The sequence below is a fragment of the Homo sapiens genome, chromosome X, assembly GCF_000001405.40.
Source record: "Homo sapiens chromosome X, GRCh38.p14 Primary Assembly".
Lineage (NCBI taxonomy): Eukaryota > Metazoa > Chordata > Mammalia > Primates > Hominidae > Homo > Homo sapiens.
In genome coordinates this window covers 70326155-70349468 of record NC_000023.11, presented here as the reverse complement: position 1 = coordinate 70349468, position 23314 = coordinate 70326155, and the positions used below count along the sequence as shown (strand labels likewise).

The 23314-nt window shown below is 38.9% G+C and overlaps 1 protein-coding gene across 1 annotated transcript in view; it reads right to left on the bottom strand.

The window, feature by feature from the left end:
* KIF4A (kinesin family member 4A) overlaps positions 1-23314 on the bottom strand; it is a 130783-nt gene that overhangs the window by 71418 nt on the left and 36051 nt on the right. Inside the window, exons 8-13 of the mRNA NM_012310.5 lie at positions 19948-20064; positions 19137-19312; positions 15780-15841; positions 7538-7670; positions 5708-5766; positions 5487-5592 (exon numbers count right to left, since the gene is read on the bottom strand). Of these exons, the coding sequence (NP_036442.3) occupies positions 5487-5592; positions 5708-5766; positions 7538-7670; positions 15780-15841; positions 19137-19312; positions 19948-20064 (653 nt within the window). The remainder of the gene's footprint in view (positions 1-5486; positions 5593-5707; positions 5767-7537; positions 7671-15779; positions 15842-19136; positions 19313-19947; positions 20065-23314) is intronic.

Here is a 23314-nt window from a genome sequence, read left to right as displayed (position 1 = left end):
CGGCCGCCCCGTCAGGGAAGTGGGGAGCGCCTCTGCCCGGCCGCCCCATCTGGGAAGTAGGGAGTGTCTCTGCCCGGCCACCCTGTCTGGGAGGTGAGGAGCGCCTCTGCCCGGCCGCCCCATCTGGGAAGTGAGGAGCACCTCTGCCCGGCCACCCTGTCTGGGAGGTGAGGAGCGCCTCTACCCAGCCGCCCATTGTCTGGGATGTGAGGAGTGCCTCTGCCCGGCCGCCACCCCGTCTAGGAAGTGAGGAGCGCCTCTGCCCGGCCGCCCCCTCTGGGAAGTGAGGAGTGCCTCTGCCCGGCCGCCCATCGTCTGGGATGTGAGAAGTGCCTCTGCCTGGCCGCCCCGTCTGGGAGGTGAGGAGCGCCTCTGCCCGGCCGCCCCCTCTGGGAGGTGAGGAGCGCCTCTGCCCGGCCACCCCGTCTGGGAGGTGAGGAGCGTCTCTGCCCGGCCGCCCCGTCTGGGAGGTGAGGAGTGCCTCTGCCCGGCCGCCCCATCTGGGAGGTGAGGAGCACCTCTGCCCAGCTGCCCCATCTGGGAAGTGAGGAGCGCCTCTGCCCGGCCGCCCCGTCTGGGAGGTGTACCCAACAGCTCTGAAGAGACAGCGACCATTGAGAACGGGCCATGATGACAATGGCAGTTTTGTCGAAAAGAAGAGGGGGAAATGTGGGGAAAAGAAAGAGAGATCAGATTGTTACTGTGTCTGTGTAGAAAGAAGTAGACATAGGAGACTCCATTTTGTTCTGTACTAAGAAAAATTCTTCTGCCTTGGGATGCTGTTAATCTATAACCTTACCCCCAACCCCGTGCTCTCTGAAACATGTGCTGTGTCAACTCAGGGTTAAATGGATTAAGGGCGGTGCAAGATGTGCTTTGTTAAACAGATGCTTGAAGGCAGCATGCTCGTTAAGAGTCATCATCACTCCCTAATCTCAAGTACCCAGGGACACAAACACTGCAGAAGGCTGCAGGGACCTCTGCCTAGGAAAGCCAGAGACCTTTGTTCACGTGTTTATCTGCCAACCTTCTCTCCACTATTATCCTATGACCCTGCCACATCCCCCTCTCTGAGAAACACCCAAGAATGATCAATAAATACTAAAAAAAACAAAAAAACAAAAAACTTTTTTGTAGACAGGGTCTCACTATGTCATGAAGGATGGTCTCATTTTATTTTATTTTTTTGTAGAGACAAGGTCTCACTGTGTTGCCTAGGCTGATCTCAAGCTCTTGGGCTCCAGGGTTCCACCTGCCTCGGTCTCTCAAAGAGTTTGGATTACAGGCGTAAGCCACTGCGCCTGGCCTGAAGAGATCCTTAATAAGTGCTATTTATGAAGCATTTCCCTTATTCTGCTCAGAAACTCCCAACCAGTGAGGCTCAAAGAGAATTTAAAGGAAGCTTCAGTATTCCCACATCCTTTCTCATGATGATTTGTAGTACTGGTGATTCTCCAAGTGCAGGACATACTAAATCATTCTTTTTTTTTTTTTGAGACGGAGTCTCGCTCTGTCGCCCAGGCTGGAGTGCAGTGGCGCGATCTCGGCTCACTGCAAGCTCCGCCTCCCGGGTTCACGCCATTCTCCTGCCTCAGCCTCCCGAGTAGCTGGGACTACAGGCGCCCGCTACCACGCCCGGCTAATTTTTTGTATTTTTAGTAGAGACGGGGTTTCACCTTGTTAGCCAGGATGGTCTCGATCTCCTGACCTCGTGATCCGCCCGCCTCGGCCTCCCAAAGTGCTGGGATTACAGGCGTGAGCCACCGCGCCCGGCCCTAAATCATTCTTAAAAAGGATTAAAAAAAATCTATAATGGTTACCCTTTCCTCCCTCCCATGTTTCAATTTTCAGTATAAGGACTAATCAGAGGCCTGTCCTAGATTATTAGGGCCTAAAACACTGGCCTTTGGAGACTTTCTCTAGTACCTTCCAGAGTTAGGATCAAAAGTAGATGGGTTAATCCTTGAAGAAGATATGTTGTTACTCTGGGTTTATCTTTGGCTTTTGGCCCAGTGAAATTTTACAATACTAAGGTTTAAGCTTAGGGCTATGGTGACATGTTCTGCATGAACATGGCAGAATTCTGCCTCTATAATCCTAAATGTAAATATATGACAATAAGATTTATTTCAGTCTCACAGCCCTCTTTCCCCCGATTCTAAGACTATAACCAAGAACCTCTTAAAAATAAAACGTGATTTCATAAAGGTGATGGTTAGGGGAACAAGGGTACACTGTGCTACATTAACCAGCAATATCCTCCAAGATGAAGTTTGTGTTTGTAGGCGGTACCGTTACTGGGCATGCAAAATGCTTTTTATGGAACTGGTCTTGGAGGAGGGGATATAAACAAAAAAGATCATTTGATTTTGTAGGAACTGAAAGGACTGCTTGAATTTCCTCACAGGTAACTGCACAAGGAGGTTTGCTTGAATTATATTTTAAAGGAAGAAATGGTACAGTTTAGCGCTTAAAGCCCCAGGAAGAATATCTAGGAACAATGGTTGCCTTTATAATGGAAAAGGGGGTGTTCACTAGTCACTTAAAATAAAAATAGTTTTAATCCAGAATGAAGGGCACAAGCACTTACTTTTGAAACATTTTGCTTTCACTGTAGTGAGTCTTAATAAAAGCCATGGGATACATTGTTGTGTATTTCCAAAAAAATATATAGCTGGGAGGGTCTCCGAACAATAGATGTGGAGAACTCTGATTCAGGAGTCCAGCAGGACTCCTGGATAAAAGGGCTTACTCTGCCTAACTGTGACAGTGGATGGAAGCCAGGAACTTTATCAGTTTGTGGCAATCTTTAGCACCCTCCTACTGTGTGTGCCAAGTACATTTAAGTGGCAGACACAGCGATTCTACGGAGTTCCTCTGAGCCAGCCACCACTAGCAACTCCCTCTACAGGCACACCAGGCACCAGTCATATTGCCAGATTCTCACTGAGGATGCTTTATTTTATTAATTTGGTTCCACGGGTTTCCTTCATCTTTTCTATGTGACTCGAAGCCCCAGAAATGAGGTGGTATTAATCCTCTAAGATTGGTGTGATGGCCATGAACAATGGTGGGTACCCTGGGTCACTATTTCTGAGCTTGTAAGTTTTGGCCCCAGTGGGCTTCTGCAGCCTAGATTATCTTAATTCTGAGGCAGCTCACACAAGGTTTTCATGTATCAGATGTTTCAGTTGCATTTGAGTGGCATTATAATTGTGAAATTTAACCTTGTGATAGCCGTTGTCTAACAAGTACTCTATACTTCAGCCACATTGAAGTTCTTACCATTTTTTAAACTTTCATACCTCTTTGCTTTTATCTATATCTTTTCCTCTATATATAGTCTAGTCCCTTTTTAAAAAACCTTATTTATTTTATATAAAAGCTCTTAAATTTTTCCTTGTGGAGCAGGGCTAACTCGTAAGCAGTGTGCCCAGAGTTGGCCTGTCCCTTCCCTTTTGTCTGCATGGCAAACTCCTGTTCATTTTTAGGACCCAGTTTCTTCTATGATGCCTTCCTGAATTTTCTGGACTAACAGTTAATCATCCTTTGTTTTATGATCCCACTGCACTTTGCTTACATTGCTGATATAAAAGAAAGCACACGAGAGAGGATTCCCAATTTTCCTTGCCTTCAACCCTCGCCTCCTTTCCCCGTTATCCCTATTTTGCCACCTCTCCCACCTGTGAACCTTGACCAACTGAGAAACTACAAGGCTTGTAAGAACAACTCTCAAAATATAATAACAGTTATCCGGATAGGATTGCATCAGTATATTCCTGAGGAAGAGGTATAAAAAAATGAAACAATCTCCAACCAAAAGTTTCACATCAATTAACATTAAAAACTGTTACCTGAGCTAAACCACACGGACATACAACCCTTTCTTCTCTTTACTCTATAAAGCTCCAATCTTGCTTTACTTGGGAAGTTACCTGGAGTTCAAGTGTACCCTGAGTGCATCAGCTAAATAATGCTTCTTCTTCTTCTTTTTTTTTTTTTTTTGAGATGAAGTCTCGCTCTGTCATCCAGGCTGGAGTGCAGTGGCACAATCTCGGCTCACTGCAACCTCCATCTCCTGGGTTCAAGCAGTTCTCCTGCCTCAGCCTCCCAAGTACCTGGGACTACAGGTGCATGCCACTACACCTGGCTAATTTTTGTATTTTCAGTAGAAACAGGGTTTCACCATTTTGGCCAGGCTAGTTTTGAACTCCAGACCTCAGGTGATCCGCCCACCTTGGCCTCCCAAAGTGCTGGGATTACAGGCAAGAGCTACTGCGCCCAGATGAATAATGCTTTTAACCCCTATTTGAATCACTTAAATTCTTTCCTTTTGATAGTAATACAGCACTTAGTAAGATTACATAGCTAGGAAGTGGCAGAACTGGCTTCAAACCAGGGTCTGTGTGGCTCTAGAGCCCAGGCTCTCAATTACTGTACCCTGTTTGTTGGATAAATGAGCTGTCATCTTGGACTGCTCATGATAGCTTTACAGTACTCCTTATTCTAAAACACTGCCTAATAGTCTTTGGGGAGTTTACTCATTTAATTTCTTAGAGCTGGCCATCATAACAAGTCCTGACAATATTGCATGGCATTTTTTTAATATTCTCTTCAAGAATAAATCTATGTGTGGATAATTTTGTGACACACTATTGACAACTCTAGAAAACACTGGGCAAGACCAGGGACTACAGTCTCATGGTTCTGGTAAAATTAAAATCTCTGCCCAAGAGCTAGGAATTACCACCAGGCATCTGCATACACATCACTGTTTCAGAATAATAAACAACAGAGTGTAGACAGAACAAAACCAACCATTACCACTTAACATAGTATGTTATAGTACGATTTCAATGTTTTTTTTAAAAGCATATATGCCTAAGGACTAAGAGATGGAACACCAAAACAAAAATAGATTTTTAGGGATAGTGGGATTGTGAAAATTTTTCTTCTGGGAAAAACAACAAATAACCACCCCACCCCCAAAACACACCTGCCACTACTATAATGGTTCTAAAAATAAACAAAAATGGGAACTTATGGTAGAACAATCATTCAAACTTACTTATTATTGGTTATAAAAGAGGCTTATGGTATTCCCTGGTTGCCTTAAGCTATCTGTCAGAATTTAGCTTATTTAAAATTGGGGTATGGTACAAGTCCTCTTTTTAAGTTAGCCTACACTGTGAGGACAGCAAATCAATGACTGCTGCTCTTGCTACCTAGGCAATTTTGCACTGCTATGTTGTTGCTTCTGTTATTTGATTAGAATACTGAAATACTAATGTGCATTGTATATGTAACCTATGAGTGTTTTAACAAACTCAATATTCAGATCATATCAAATGATCCACGACCTCTGTCCAAAAGCGGCTCACAATCTAGTTGTTTCAGCAAAAGGCACAGAGCTAGAAAGGCTTGTATGTGTCAAGAGAAACAAATGAAAGTGATATGCCTATTTACACTGCCCCTACTTGGCTTACCGATAACTGGGTAATCAATTGCTGCAGGTTACAAATTATCTCTACATTTTCTTTCAATTCCTGGTCTTCCAAAGTCTCCACTAGCTTTTGAAGATCCAGTTTGCAGCTGAAAATTCAAACAAAAAGAACCCAAGGGTTATTCATATGACAAAGGCCAGAGGCTCCACGATTATATACTAAGATGCTATAGGTTGCTAACAAATATCTGGTGGGCAACTTACGCCGCATGCTGCCTGAGCTCTTCTAGCTTGGCGTTCATTTTTTCATTCGCTTGCTCTGTCTGCAACAAAGACCCAGGAGATCATCAGTGGCGGTGCCTGACAGCCTCACATAATTATGCTCTCCTACTCCTATGAATTAAAAGCTAGGTAGAGAGGCTGTCTCCTTTGCTGTAACAGAGGATTTAGTGGGCTTTGGTTATTCAGTGAAAAATGTGTTTTTTAAAAGAGTCATGGAAATTAGCCCTTCAGTCAACATGAGCTACTAAAAATAGCATCCGAGCAGCTAGGTTTTATGCTTGCCATGAAACTCAGACTATGGGGTGGAGTGTGAAGCCTTAATTCCATAGAGAACTTTGCAACTGAGGGGAAAAAGCAATATTTCCTGGCATGTTAGTCCCTGCTGTTTGCAAAACAAACAAACAAAAAAAACAAACAAAAAAAAGACAAAAAACAAACAAACAAAAAACCCCACTTACTTTAAACTGCCTCCTACACTACGCTGTTCCCTAGCCCCAGCATAAGGGCATTTAAAACATAAAAGGGCCTCACACTAAATTTGAGCTGAGATTTTTTTTTTAAGTTATACTATTTGATATGGTAGGCTAGTTTTAGCAAAAGACAGCAAGAAAAAGGGTACGGCACAAGAATGATGGTAGAGAAAGAAGAAACAGCAGAAGGCAGCTTACGTTTTGGGAAGGGTGATTGATATTTTCAGTTTTATTTCAATCACAGTATCTGTAACATGCTGGATACTATAACAGATCTGGAAAGAATCGTTTATATAGGACAAAAATGTTGTGCTTGTTATGAAGTTCTGACAGGATATCAAACAATAAGCCTATCAGGCAGACACTGTAACAACCTTATAAAGGTCGGATGAGTATGTGGATAGAATAAGAAGTAGTTTCTGTTACAACAGCCTCATTCACATACATGTGAAACACAGCTTCTAGAGTTACTTCAAAGCATAAATACAGCACTGGAGACAGAAAACTGTATATAAAAATCCCCTATATCCCATTTTCACCCTCCGTTAGTAATGGACAATACAATGGACGTAGGATTTAGCCCACTTGAAAGAAATCTTTAAGCAGCTTATCTTTCCTTGACTAGAGAGCACACTGATGCATGAAGGTGTATACATTACAGAGGTTCAATTATATTTTGGTGGAAACTTATTTTTGCTTCTGGCAACAGTCGTGCTATCAAAGATTGAGTTGTATTTAGACTAGTAGAAAAACCTTAGTGATAGAGTCAGCATGCACTGATCCAGGAGGTTACTGACAGACAAGCAGGTAGTAGGAGTCAGAACTCGTGTAATCAGTTATATAGTGATCCACTATTTGGAAATCAATCACATGGAAAATGAATTAAAATTAATTTCCAAGCTGTTGTATCTCACCATGGCAGCTGTTAGTATGGGATATGAAATGTGACAACATTAGGGGAAGAGAGATGGAAAATAACTAAAATCTTGGAGAAGGAATGGTTACTTGGTATTATGGATAAAGATTAGGCAGGATTTAAGGTGACAGAGGTACTTGGTTCTTTACTTTCTGGTATTTTTAAATGAATCTATTTTAAAATGGGATTTATGTAGATTCTTTGTGGTAGATACATAGGTGTTCACTGTACAATTCTTTTAACTTTTCTGTATGTTTGATTATAAGCCCACATATTTACCCCAGAGGGGCTCCCTGGAGGATATGGTAATACAAATACATTTCTTTCAATATAACCTGTCTCTCATAATGAGATACATGTTAAATATTCTGGAAACTAAAGCTAGTAAATGTTCAGATTGCTAGTAGTTTATTCTTGGGGGCTTACCAAAATGATCCTCTCCAACATCTGGGCTGTCTGACCAGCTGCCTCGCTCAGACCACGACTTAATTTTTCATTCTCCTCTACCAGGGACTGATTCTTCTCCATCAGGGATTGTAGATTCTCTGATGGTTCCACACTAAAACAAAGTAAATAACATATTAGAAAAATATCTGATTGATAATACCTATATCAAAGGTGGATAAAAATATATCCCATAGGCCTTTTGGATAGGTAGGGGGATTAGGTCAAAATTATACCACAAAAGTCTGGGAAAAGTGTGTCCAACCCAATCTATCCTCCTAGTCAGGTAGAATATTGGATGTACAATAAACACATCTCTGAAGTACTTCAGTGGTTTGGAGAAAGGTAATAATTCAGAGCCAGATACGGTTGCAACAGGAATGACTAACCTCTATCTTGGCTCTTGGCTAGGATCTTTTCTGTTTGTGTCCTGTAGGTATGAAGTTATAGCTAACTGGAGCTAAAATACATGTTCTGTCCCTTTTCTTCCCACCCTCAATCCCTAATTAAAGATTAGGGAAGTAGAGAAGGGAGAGGTATGGGGGAGGTAGAAGTGACACTGCTCAGGGTCAAAATTCAACCTAATCAACATAAATATATTTCCCATTTATTGTAAAGTTTAGGGAAACAGCATTTGAGAAGTCAAAAAGTTGAAATGATGACCAGCGGCCACTCAGAAAACATTTCACAATTCTTTATAAATAAGTGCTCCCTTCTAAATGCTTGCTTTGCTTGGAACTTATGACCCATAGCCTCTTGTTCATTTGTCTATTAATTTTAAATTACTTAGAGTGAGTCATGACAACAATGGTGTCCATTTCAAATACGAGGAAAAGGGAGGGTCAGAAATAGCTTGAAGGAATACATATAGGTAAGAAACTTTGGAATGTATACATATCACTTGATATCAGTTCCAGACTAGTAAAGCAGACCAATACGAAGTAGGGCTGTTTTTTGTTTTAATCCACTGGGATGAAATGTTCAAAAGACTGGAAAACAGGACTGGTTAAAAAAAGATCAGAAGAAATATGAAGATTTGATCTGAAGAAGACTGAGGGGAAAAATGAATAGTTGTCAAGGCTATGAAAAAGAGAAAAATAAAGGACAGGGAACAGCTGTTCTCAATCTCAATAAAGGATAGAAAAGGACTTCAGGAATAGAGTAGATGCCCTCTCACCCATCTTAAGACCTCCATCAATTTTTATAGAAGATCTTAGAAGGCACTTTATCAAAAGTTAATAGGAAGGCCACACAATAAGGTCTCATATTACACTGTTGAGCATTTACTAAGACTCTTATGAAGGAATGTTCAATTAAAATGCAGATTATAAAAAAAACTATTAGTAAATTTAAGTGTTATTTCGTTATTTCTTTATTAAACTGAAAACTTCCATGTGTCATTCATGTAAGCTGACAAGCTTCAAAGTAATGATACTTTTAACTCGATAGTTTTTTATTTCCCTAAAAAATTTCCAGGATTTCTCTAAATGGGAAAATCATATTTAAGTTTAACTGTTGATTTTTCCAAGGAAAATTTAGCACATAGAAGTAGGTTCTTCATTGTAATTTGAGGCAAATGCTTGAATATTTAAATACCACTATAATTAATAATAGTTAACTCTTCTATAGCATTATGGGCTAGGCTCTATTCTAAATACTTTACATACATTAAATTTTTTAAGTTCTCCCAATAGCCCCTATGAGGTAAGTTCTACTGTTATCCTCATTTTATAACTAGGGAAACTGAGGCACAAAGAAGTTAAATAACCTATAGCCACACAGCTAGTAGGTAATGTGAAGCTGAAATTTGAGCTCAGCAGTCTAGTTTCAGAGTCCATGCTCTTAACTACCATGCTGACTACAGAGATAGGTACTATATGAATGCAGAGAATACTGGATATAAAAGCTCTCACAGTAATAAGGAAAAAAAAGAGTTCTTGGCAAGATTATAGATATATTATAGGACCACGTGATATAGGACAGCCACGTAATGGGTAAAATCTTTAAAAGTAAAGCAAAAACAGGACTAGGGCCAGGCAAAAATCAGACTGAAAAAGAAAATATAACAGAAAACCAATGTTTTCACATGCTATTTAATTGCCAAGGCTAGGAATTCAAGTAAACTGAGCATGTGCAAATTGACCGACACTCACAGAAAATAAATACAAAAGCTTCAATGACATGTTAAAAAACAAAAGAAAATAATCTAAGGACAAAAAGTGAAAACATTCATATATGTAAAATGTACTTTTTGTTAACAAGCCTTATAAAATGTCTCTAAAAATATAAATATACATTCTTGTGAAAAGGAGCATCTTTATTTCTCTGTAAAATATTGAACAATTAAGTTTAATTGTTTGATTCATCAACTGTTTCTTAGAATCTATTACTTTTGCAGCTGAAACTATTTCCTTTAGCACATTCTAGACAATCAGAAGTCTGGAACTTTTTGTGCTAAACTGAAAGGAAAGGAAGATGGGTCAATTGCTTCTAAATGAGTATAGTGAGAATAAAATGTAATCAGGAAACCCAGACTAAATTATCTAAAGGGGGAAAATTAGGAAGAAAGAGGTAGTCATCTCTGGGTGGTGAAATTATAGCAACTTTAAGTTTTATTCTCTATACTTCTCTAAATGTTCTACTAGAAGCAATTAGTCACTTTTATAATCAGAAAAAAATGAATAATTGAAAACAAAAATATTGAAAGTATGCTCACATCATACATAAGAATAAATACCAAATGCCAAAATGAAATGTAAAACATAAAACGACATTATTACTAGAAGAAAACATGGGTGAATTCCTCTTTTTCTTTTTTTTTTTTTTTTTGAGATGGAGTCTCGCTCTGTCACCCAGGCTGGAGTGCAGTGGCGTGGTCTTGGCTCGCTGCAAGCTCCGCCTCCCAGGTTCATGCCATTCTCCTGCCTCAGCCTCCCAAGTAGCTGGGACTACAGATGCCCGCCACCACACCCAGCTAATTTTTTCTATTTTTAGTAGAGACGAGGTTTCACCGTGTTAGGCAGGATTGTCTTGATCTCCTGACCTTGTGATCCGCCCACCTCGGCCTCCCAAAGTGCTGGGGTTACAGGCATGAGCCACCGCGCCCGGCTGAATTCCTCTTTTAACCCTGGTGTGGAGAAAGGCTTTCTAACTATGAATCCAGAGGCATGGGGAGAATGTAAATGATATAGCCACTTTGGAAAACAGTTTGGCAGTTTCGTAAAAAGTTAAACATATGACCCACCAATTCTATACCCAGGCATTTACCCCATGAAAACCCATGTCCATATAAAAACTTGCAAGTGAATGTTTGCAGCAGCAGTATTTATGAAAGCCAAAAAGTGGAAACAACCCAAACCTCCATCAACTGGTAAATGGATGGACAAATACGGCCTATCTAGACAATGGAGTACTATTACGCAAGAAAGGGAAGTGCTAACACGTGCTATAACATGGATGAACCACAAAACATAAGTGAAAGAAGCCAGACAAAAAAAGACTACATCCTCTATGATTCCATGTATACGAAATGTCTATAATAGGCAAATCTATAAAGGCAGAAAAGAGATTAGTGGTTGCCTTGGTCTGGGAGTGGGAATGAGAGTGATGGCAAATGGGCATGAGGAAACTTTTTGGGGTGATGGACATGTTCTAAACCTGAATTGTGGTGATAGTTGTACAACTCTGTAAATTTACTAAAAATCATTGAATGGTACACATAAAATGACTGAATTTTATGGTACGTAAATTTTAGCTCAATAAAGCTGCTGAAAAAATCCAGAGGCAATAAAAAAATTAATAAGCTTTACTACATAAAAATCATAACATTTTATATGACAAAAAAATCATAAACAAAGTAAAAGACAACTGATAAATTCAGAGAAATTATCTGTAACACACACCACAGACAAAGGGCTAATATCACGAATATATAAAGAATTGTCAAAAATAAGGGCCAAACTTAGGGTTGCTATTATAAAAAAAATACATTGGTGAGGGTGTGGAAAAACTGGAACTTTTGTGCATGGCTGGTGGAGATGTAAAATGGTACAGCCACTATGGAAAACAGTATGGTGGTTTGATTTAAAAATTAAAAACAGAACTACCATATGATCTAGCTATTTACTTCTAGGTATATACCCAAATGAATTGAAAGCAGGGATATGATCAGACATTTGTACATCCATAGTTTTTTTGTTGTTGTTGCTTGTTTTGTGTGTGTTTTTTGTTTGTTTGTTTGTTTTGAGACAGGGTCTCACTCTGTTGCCTAGACTAGAGTGCGTGGTATGATCATAGCTCACTGTAGCCTCAACTTCCCTGGGCTCAGGTGATCCTCCCAACTCAGCCTCCCAAGTAGCTGGGACTACAGGTGCACACCATCATACCTAGCTAATTTTGTATTTTTTGTAGAGACAGGGTTTCGCCATGTTGCCCAGGCTAGTCTTAAACTCCTGGGCTCAAGCAATCTGCCCACCTTTGCTTCCCAAAGTGCTAGGATTACAGGCATGAGCCACCACGCCTGGCCCATGTTTTTTTGTTTGTTTGTTTTTAAAGAGACGGAATATTACTATGTTGCACAGGCTGAAGCGCAGTGGCTATTCACAGGTGCTATTTTAGCACACTACAGCCTTGAACTCCTAGGTTCAAGCAATCCTCCTGCCTCATCCTACTGAGTTGCTGGGACTTCGGCATGCACCACCACACCTAGCTGTACACCCATGCTTATAGCAGCATCATTCACAATAGCCAAAAGATGGAAGCAGTCCAAGTGTCCATCAATGGATGAATGGATACACAAAATACAATGAAATATTATTCAATCTTAAAATCAAAGGAAATTGTGACACATGCTACAACATGGATGAACCTTGAAGACATTATGCTAAATGAAACAAGTCAGTCATGAAAAGACAAATACTGTATGATTCCATTCATATGAGGTACCTAGAGTAGTCAAATTCATACTGAAAGCAGAATAGTGGTTGCCAGGGACTGAGGAGAGAGGAAATGAGGAGTTATTGTTTAGTGGGTATAGAGTTTCAGTTCTGCAAGATGAAAAAAATTTTGGAGGTGGATGGTGGTGATGGCTGCACAACATTGTGAATGAATTTAAAGCCATTGAATTGTACACTTAAAATAATTAAAATGGTAAATTTTATGTTATGTATATTTTACCACAATTTATTTTTAAAAAGAGGCCAAAGGACCAAAAAACCCAATAGAAAAATGAGAAAAGACATGGACAATTCACCAGCAAAAGGGATAAAAGTGGCCCTTAAACATATGAAAAAATGCTCAAATTCACCCATAATACGAGAAATACAAAGTAAAACAACACTGAGATAGCATTTCTCACCTATCAGACTGCCAAAAATTGAAAAAGTATGACAATACATTCCATTAGTGAGGCTGTGGGGAAACAGGCTTTCTCATACACTGCTGGTAGGAATGCAAACTGGTACATCTCTTCTGGAGGCAAATATGGCAATACCTTATAAAGGTAGAAATGTACTTACCTTTTGTCCCAGCAATCCCACTTCTAGAAATTTACCCTTAAGATAAACCTCTGACAATACAAAAATATATACACACAGGTTATTCACTGCAGCATGTTTTTAATTGCAAAACATTGGAAACAACTTAAATGTGCATACATAGGAAGGGGGGTGAATTGATATGTATGGCACATGTCCACAATAAAAGTACTATGCACCTGCAAAAAAGAATGCGGAAGACTTCTCTGAACTGGTAAGAAATGATTTCCAGGAAATACTGAACAAAGCAAAGCTACAAAGAGTATACAATCATTACATACAGTACCCAACCATTCATATGAGAAAAAAAGGTGATATAATAAAATACACAGGTATCTGTTCATTTGTACAAAAGAAATACAAGAAGGCTAAACCAGAAACTAAAGAGATGGGTTAAATACAGGCGTAGCGAGAATAATGGTAGAAAAGAGGTAGAAATAAGGGTGGGAAATAGGAATGGGAACAGAGTTGCAGGGATGGAGAGGGAATGACATTTACCTCACTGAGTATATCCTTTTTCCTTTTTGAAAAAAATTGTGGTACATGTATGCATTAAGTAGTTTCTCACCACCCACTCCCCTCAAACTTCCTATGCTTCCTAGTTGCCAATGTCAATTGTTCCACACTCTAGGTCCATGTGAACACATTATTTGGCTCCCACTTGTAAGTGAGAACATCCAGTATTTAACTTTCTAAGTTGTTACAATGTACATTATTCAGGTGATGGATATACTAAAAGCCCAGACTTCACCACTACACAACACATCCATATAATAAAATTGTACTTATATCCCATAAATTTATACAAATACAAATTGGAAAATCATGGGAAACATATAAACATAAAACTTACCATCTTAATCACCTTTAAGTGTGTTGTTCACTAGTGTTAAGTATATTCACATTGCTTGCTGTGAAACAGATCTCCAGAATGTTTTCATTTTGCAAAACTAAAATTCTATACCCATTAAACAACTTCCCTTTCCCACCTATCCCCCAGTCCCCGGCAACCACCATTCTACTTTGTTTCTATGAATTTGACTACATTAGATACCTCACATAAGTGGAATCATACAGTATTTGTCTTTTTGTGACTGGCTTAGTTCACTTAGCATATCTTCAATGTCCACCCATGTTGTAGCAAGTGACAGGATTACCTTCCTTTTTAAGGCTGAATGATATTCTGTTGCATGTATATACCACATTTTGTTTATCAGGTCATACGTTGATAGACATTTGGGTTATTCTACCTCTTAACTATAGTGAATAGTGCCACTATGAACATGGTCGTGAAGACATCTCTTTGAGACCTTGCTTTAATTATTTTGGATATATAAACAGAAGTGGGATTGCTGGATCATATGGTAAGTCTAGTTTTAATTTTTTTAGGAACCTCCATGCTGTTTTCCACAGTAGTTACATCATTTTACAATCTCACCAACAGTGTACAAGGGTTCCAATTTCTCTATATCTTCACATCCTTGCCAACACCTTTTATTTTCAGTTATTTATCTATTTATTTATTTAACAGTAGCCATCCTAATGGGCATGAGGTGATATCTCATTGGGGTTTTAATTTGCATTTCTCTGCTCTGAGTATATCTTTTTGTGTAACTCTGACTCTTAGATCCATTATGTTTCACATACCTAAAATATAAACAAACAAAAGTAACTAAGATTTAGGGGGAGAGTGCCTAAAAGGGAATACAAACAGTAACTGTGGGAAACATTATCTTGCTTAGATACTCTATGCCTAAAGATAAAAAGAACTGTACATAAATGCTGTAATCTATTTCATAGAAAGTGTTTCCCACAGGGATATAGGCTAACAATTCTGAAACTACTTTATGTGTATAGTAGAACTGAGCAAGTAAATAAATAGATTGCAGATGAGAGCTGGGTTTCTTACTGTTGGAGAAAGAAGTTACAAATAAGGAAAGGGGGAAAGCCAAAATGAACCCTGTCACATTGGAATGGTATCAGAGGTGTCAGTATAAACTCATGGTTTGTAATATATATGCAGATAGATATATACAAAAATATAGATGAAAGTGTATGTGTACGTTACTACACAGGTAGATATTTCTGAGCTCTACCTGCTCAGAGTGCTTAGAAGCAGTAAAACTCTGGTAACAATAAACACAGCTGGCGCTAGTACCCAAATCTTGGCTTCTAAACACAATTTTCCATCAACAAAAAAAGAAAGGAACTAGGGTTCCTTGGAGACATGGTTGATTCCAGAACTGGGGTAGGGAAAATACAAGATGAGTTTGGAACCTCTTGTAGAAATGATCAAAAACTTGAGAAGAGCCAACCTGAAGGAGCTCCTAATGGACAAAGCAGGAACAATTTGAGCAATAAAACAAATAATAGTACTGGATGTTAAACCATAGAATAAAATAAATATCCATGAATCTATACAAATATAACTAAATGTCAAATAAACAAATGGAGAAGAAGAGACAGCTCTTCCTCACAATAGAATTCCAATTAATAAATTTCTGAGGCCAGAACCCATGCTCTTTCTGTTACATTAGGCTGCTTCAAACATAACTAAGTCCTAAATAGTCAGCAAAATTGGTAAGATCCTTACCGTGACACCAAGTGCTAGCAGAAACCAGGGAAAAACTATTATTAGGAAAAATAGCCTCTATTAGAATACACAATTCAAATTAATCTATGACTCTTACGTTATAGATCCAGGCAGGGTACCTCCATGGGCCTGTAGCAACAAGACTTGTAGCTGTTGTACCTGGGAGAAGCAAAGAAAAATAATCAGCTAGTCACCAACCAAATGCTACTTAACCCTTGGCAGTAAAATTACCACAATTAGCAATAAAGTAATTTTACTAAATGTCTATGAAATCTAAGGCAGATAGCATACCTTAGATACTACCAAAGGCATCATACATAGTTGATGATCCAATGATAACAGGAAAATCAGCATTACATGAACAACTATTAAGTAGAAGATGAGTTGTCCATTTTATCTACATCTTAATGAGTTTTTACTGAGCACCTATTTTTCTTTTTTCTTTTCTTTTCTTTTTTTTTTTTTTGGAGACAGAGTCTTGCTCTGTCGCCCAGGGTGGAGTGCAGTGGCACTTCTGCCTCCCAGGTTCAAGTGATTCTCCTGCCTCAGCCTCCCAAGTAGCTGGGACTACAGGCGCCCGCCAACACACCCAGCTAATTTTTGTATTTTTTGTAGAGACAGGGTTTCACCATGTTGGCCAGCCTGGTCTTGAATTGCTGACCTCAATTGATCCACCTACCTCGTCCTCCCAAAGTGCGGGGCTTACACATGTAAGCCACTGCTCCTGGCCTTGAGTACCTATTTTTGAAAATCAGTCTCAGCACTGGGCTAGACAACGTACGGACATATAAAAATAAAATATGACCCCTACTCTCAAGTTTACAATCTACTTAAGAAAGATAAGCCTGAAGTCTAAAATAGTAGGAAATAATACAAGACAGAATAAGCAAATTAACAAAAACCTAAATAGTCAAAGGGAGGCTTCATGGAGATGGATCTTAAACCAGAGCGCAAGTGTAAGCATCCTCTCCCATTCCCTCCTATGACACAAGGGGAGCTGTTCTGCCTCCCAAGACTGGTCTCCTTGCATGTGCTTTGGATTCCCACTCTTCTTGCCATCTTATGAATCTTACACTGTTATCCCTTCTCTCTTCTATATTTTCAATTTCTCCCTTTCTATAAGATCCTTCCTATTCAGATTAAAATATGTTCAAGTCTCTCCCATCTTAAAAACAAAAGCATCCTCCCCAACCCCACTTCCTATCTCTCTTGCCCTATTTTTCTCTTTTTTCACAAAGTTTGAGAGAATAATACACCAATTGCCTCCATTTCCTTTCGCTCGCCACTCGGTTGCTCCTCAACTTACTCCAATATGACTGCCTACATTGTTCCAATGAAATAACTTGCCCAAGTTACAAACGAGCTGCATGTCACCAAATCCAGTGAGCATTTTCCAGTCTTCATTTTACTTGACTGACTGACTGGTAGCATTTGGCTTACAAGACACATTTTCCTGCTTTTCCTTCTATTCTTCTAACTGATCTTCTAAGTCTCTTTCTTGGTTCATCTTTGCTCCACTTGTCCTTTAAATGGTAAAGTCCCCCAAAGCTCAGTAGGAGTTTTCTTACTTACATTCTCCTTATATTCTCTTCTGAATGTCTCATCTCTGCCTCTGGTTTCTATTACCTGAAACTGGTGACTTCCAAATTTACCTCAAGCACAGATCTTTCTGAACTTTATACTTTTATATTCAACTATCTACCTGATATTTCCACTTAGTTGTCTGGTATCCTCAAACCTGGTCCTTTTCCAGTGTAACCCAGGTCAGTGAATATCCAGTTCCACATGCCAGAAATCTGGGTGTCATTCCTTTATCTAATTCATTGGTTACTTCTTTCTATCACCACTGCCAGCACTCTAAGTCCAAGCCATCATTATCTCTCGCTTAGACTACTGCAGTACCTTCTTAAATGGTCTCCATGAATCTACTCTTGCTCTACTATAATCCATTTCTATACAGCAGCCAGGCCATTGTTTAAAAATGTAAATTATCAAGTTACTACCTGGCTTAAAATCCTTTTTAATATTGTCCATGAGTCCTGGATCAGTCCTCTGCTTTCCCTCTAGCCTCATCCTGGAATACAGGCACATCTCAGTTTATTGTGCTTCACTTTACTGCACCTCACAGATACTGTGGTTTTTTTTTTACAAATTGAAGATCTGTGGCAACCCTGCATTAAGCAAGGCTATTGGCACCATTTTTCCAACATCATATGCTCATTTCATGTCTCTGTGTCAACATTTTTTTTTAGCAATAAAGTATTTTTAAATTAAGGTATGTACATTGTTTTAAGACATAATGGTATTGCACATTTAATATACTACAGTATAGTGTAAATATAACTTTCTATGCACTGGAAAACAAAAAAAATTGTGTGACTCACTTTATTGCGATATTTGCTTTACTGTGGTGGTCTGGAACCAAGCCTGCAACATCCCTAAGGTAAGCCTGTACTCTTTCCTTGCTTTCTACACTCTAGCCACACTGGCATTCTTTGAGTTCTTCAAATGCACTATACTTCTGTCCTATCTCAGACCCTTCCAACACTTGCTATAAGCCAAGTACTGTTCTAAGTGCTTTACATGTATTAACTCATTTAACCCTCACAAAAACCCTAAGAAGAAGGTATTATTATTATTTCTACTGTACAGATAGGGATACCAAGGCACAGAGAACTTGCCCAAGGTACATAGCCAGTGAGTTATAGAGCTAAGATTTGAACATGGGTGGGCTAATTGCAGTGTCAGTGCTCCTGGCCACTATACAGCTGTTCCTATGTATATGCAGGGGATTGGTTCCAGGACCCTGTGCGTATACAAAAATGTAGATGCATAGTCCAGTCCTGCGGTCAGCCCTGCAGAATCCACATGTATAAAAAGTCTACACATGGGTTTCTCATCCTGCAAATACTGTATTTTTGATCTGTGTTTTGTTGGACCAAACTCCTATTGTTCGAGAATCAACTGTACTTTGCTACCTATGTTTCTTCTCTCTAGAACTCTCTTTGTTTTGTGCAGTGATTTATTTTCCTTCTTCTAGTCATGCCCACTTCTAATCTATTTTCTCTATACCTGCTAGAATGATCTCGCCAAAACACACATTTTATCATATCACCCTCCTACTTAAAACTCTTCAATGGCTCTTCATAGCTTTCAGGTTGAATTCCAAATTCTTTAACAAGTCATATAAGGAACTTCAGAATTTAGCCCCTGTCTACACCTCTCATCTCATCTCTCACTGCTCACTTCTTCATCAGTGAACTTTCCAATGCTACCCCCAATCTTAAATGGACAGCAAACACGTTAATAGGAGTTATTTTAAGAGGTCCCCGAACAAACATAATGCCTAACCAACATCTCTAAACTTCTGATAAAGAAGAAACTGAAAACAGAAGCTCTATCATTCCACTCACATACTTGTAATTTTTCCCATCAAACTTTAAGTCCCTTATACCTGTTGCTTTAGATGATTAAGTTCAGCTGTCTGGGGATCAATATTAACAATAGGTTTGTTCTTGATTTTTCTTGCTCTGTCAGCATAGCGAAGGGTATTTAATGTTTCCTCTAGATTGGAGTCAGCAGGACTCACACAGGCTATCATAAGAGTATGGCTATTACCTCCTAGAGAATCTGAAAAAGAACAATAAAGAATAACGAAAGGAAATGAAATCAAACAAGTAGGATATAAGCAAAGCCGTCCATTCGGGTTGGTGACTTAAAATTCAGAGCTATAAGAAAAAGTTCTTAGTGTTTTTTATATTGAAATAATAGGAAATGTATACATATCTAAGATTTCTGATGTAATATACATTTAAATCCTATTGCATGTGTCCCCTTTCTCAAAAGGGATTGTGATTTCAGCAGTTAATCAGGTTAAAACAACTGGGGCCTGGCCTAAGTAAGTTAGGAGCCACTAGTGGAATTAAACATTCTTAGGATGCCCCCTCTAGGTGGATTTTAACTCTCCAGGGAATTCTGCTTAGCCGCACTAATAATTAAAGAAACAGTAACCAAATTCACTTTCAGGTGTAAAGTACAAAGTACAGTTGGTGCACTACAGATTTCTTGGCTCTCAATGTCATATATGAAGATATTTTTCCATTATCTTAGAAACCTGCTTGCCAACAGCACTCTCTCGTATTTATCAATTAGACAACTGTGTATGTCATAGTCCAAATAGCTGGCTTTTTACCTATTTCATCTTTGCTGTCTCAGCACTATCATTTTGAGTTACTCTCTTATTTTTGGAGGCACTTTGGGCTTACCTTGAAGCAGTCGAGTCAACTTGGAATCTCTGTAGGGCACAAAGCCACCCTTTTTGTCATCTCCAAGAGCACTGATTACATTTCCCAAGCATAGGAGGCCTCGGTTAATATTAATACCTAATAGCAGGAAATGAAATTTAAATTGCTTGGTAATGCATCCAACATATACCTATGTTTCTTCTGAGAAAGAGAAAAGAAATAAAGACCCCATAAAAATATCGAGTCATCAATCTTGAGAAAACTTCTTAATCTTGTTCACTTTTTGGAGTGCCTCTTTAAGTAAAGGACAAAGGTCCAAATGTTGGATATGTATGATTGAGTCCACTGGCACTTCTTGCCCTTTCCCATGGAAACAAAGCAGATAGATAAATAACTATCACCATGACAACCATCTGTATAGTTATTTACTTTTTATATCCATTATGATAATCTTTAAATTAATGCTGTGAAATTGGATGAACAGGTTTTTTTTTACCATATCATCATCATTATTTTTATTATCATTCTCATTTTACAGATAAAGAAAGAAGCTCAGAGGTTAAATGACCTGCCTAAGGTCAAACAGCTAGTAAATGGTAGGCCTGAGATTCTATCTCAAGATTTTAGTCAAGTCCTATGCTCTTTTCATTATACCATAGTGAAATACCTTTCCTACTGTAGCTTTAAAAAAGATAAAGATTATTTTCCACTTTGGTTAATTCTGAGGTTTACTTCTTAAACACTGTAATAACCTCTGAAGTTCTGCTGAAGCAATTAACTTCCCATTATTAGGCTTACTGTGGAAAAGCTATATAGTATAATGGTTAAGTGCATAGTTGGTGTTAAAATAGACAGCTTACAATCCTGGCTCTGTCACTGACTAGTTATATGATCTTGGGTTAAGTTCCTTTATAAAATGAGGCAAATCTACCTACCTTATTGGGTTGTGGTAGGGAATTAATTAAGATACTATATATGAAGCAAAGTTAAATGATAAATAAATCATGCTATAGTTTAAATGTTTGCGTCTCCTCCAAAATTCACGTTTGAAACTTAGCCCCCAATGCAATAGTATTAGGAGGTGGGACGTTTAGGAGATCATTAGGCCATGAAATGTCTACCTTCATGGATGGGATTGGTGCCTGATAAGAGGACTGGAGAGAATTAGCTAGTTGCTTTTGCCCTTCTGCCCCTTCTGCCATGTGGGGACACACCGTTTATCCCTTTTCCCCATCTGCCATGTGAGGCTGCCAGGATGTCTGTCCTCACCAGTCATTGATTCTACTGGCACCATGACCCTGGACTTCTCAGTCTCCAGAACTGTAAGAAATAAATTTATATTGTTTCTAAATTACCCAGTCTAAGGTATTTTGTTATAGCAGCACAAATGGTATCATTATTGTTAGCTCTACTCTACCTTTTATATAGCCATCTTTTGAACATGAAACAATTATATTTATGAGATCCTGAACTCGAAATTCCTGACTGCATCCTACTATCCTTCCATTTCTTTGGATCCTGTTCTTCACCCTTTTTTTGGACTACCAATTTACTGACACTTTCTAATACTGTCAGTAGATCAGCCTCTTCTGGACCTTCAACTCTTACTCTGAACCCTATGGTTGAAAATTTCAATTACGTTTTCCTAAGAACTCACTGGACATATGATCTTCTACCATTCTCACCATGTCAATTCTCAACCATAGGTTAAACCAACTGTGTGCGTGTATGTTTATTTGTAGGCTACAATACTGAAGAAACAGCATAACCAAACAGATGAGATCCACTATAAACATGCTACCTAACCTTAGCTGAACCCTTGGTCAATTGATCATCTTTTCTTCCTCATTCCTACTTTACTAACCTTCTAATCTAACTAATCTAATTCACCATGGCAGCTATTATACAGACTCATCATTTTTAAGAATATAAACCTATCTTCACTTTCTATTGGTAGATGATTTCACCAAATACTTTATAGAGATGAAAGTTATCCACAAGGGCTCCCCAACCTCCCCTCTCCTCACCTCACATTCATTCTTTTGCTATTACTTATTCCTTCATCCTTCCCCTTGTTTCAGAGGAAATAGCTGCCTTTGTTTTCAAGGTCCTGCCTTCTGCCTCTGTTTCTATTCCTTCCATTTCCTCTGGGACCCTGATCCTTTAGCTTCTCCCTCTCTCTTAGATCTTCCACTTATTTTTTTCCTTCACTATTTCCTTCTTTTCAGCCTACACCCACGCTCAAATCTCCCTAATCTAAAACAAAAATAATTTTCTCAATTATCCCTTTGTTTTCCTCTTATTACCAACTGGAATGGGTACTGCTTATCCTCTCTAGGATATGAAGGAAAGCCTGCTGAGATTTATCAAACCTGCCTGCTAATACCTGTACTAAATCCTATGTTAGTCCATTCCTGTCTTTTCCTTCTCTTTTTAGCCAAACAAAACATTGTGCTATTTTATTGGCCCATATCTCAACTAGATGTAAAGGAGAGACTGCTGAGGTTTTTCAAAGCTGCTGAGCAAAACTTCCATCTATAGTTTCATATAGGAGCAAAACAAAATTCCAGACAAACCCTGAGAAGAATCTATGGCAATGATCCAAGCAAGAACCATAGACTTAAGGATAAAGTGGGCATTTTTTTTCTTCTTCTTCAAATGAGAGTTGGGGCTCAAGAATAGAAAGGAGATAAGAGACATGAATGTTTCTCTTGAAATAAATCACCACAAAACAGGATTTGATTTCCTGTTAAGACATTAAAATGATAAATGATTCCCAAAGATGGAATATATATCACAAAGATGGGGAAGAACATATTTGCAGAGACTTAAAAGTTCTGATTAAGGACAGCTATGAAGAAAAATGAAGTAGTTTTCTCTGTAAGAATGAGAACAGATCAAGTAAGGAGAGTCAAAAATGCTACTCAATACCTTTGGGTGTTTGTTCACTATGGCAACAAATAAATAATAAAGGAGAGATTTTAACTTTAAAAGAGAAATATAACTTCACAGCTATCATGGAGGCACATTACAATGGGTTTTACAGCTGGAATATAAAAGCATATTTGTAAGAAAAAAGAAAAATGAGGTAGGAGAGAAATGTAGATCTATATGCAGTGGTTCTCAACTAGGGGCAATTCTGCTTCATAGGGGACATTTGGCAATATCTGGAGACATTCTGGTTGTCACAACTTAGGAGTGGGGTATGTGTGCCACTGGCATTCATCGGGTAAAGGCCAAAGATGTTGTAAAACATCCTACAATGCATAGGACAGCCTCCTTCCCCGTAAACAATTATTTGATCCAAAATATTAACGGTGCCACAGCTGGGAAACCCTGCTCTACGTGTGAAGAAAATATGTATGGGCCTAAAGCAGGTAGAATGGCT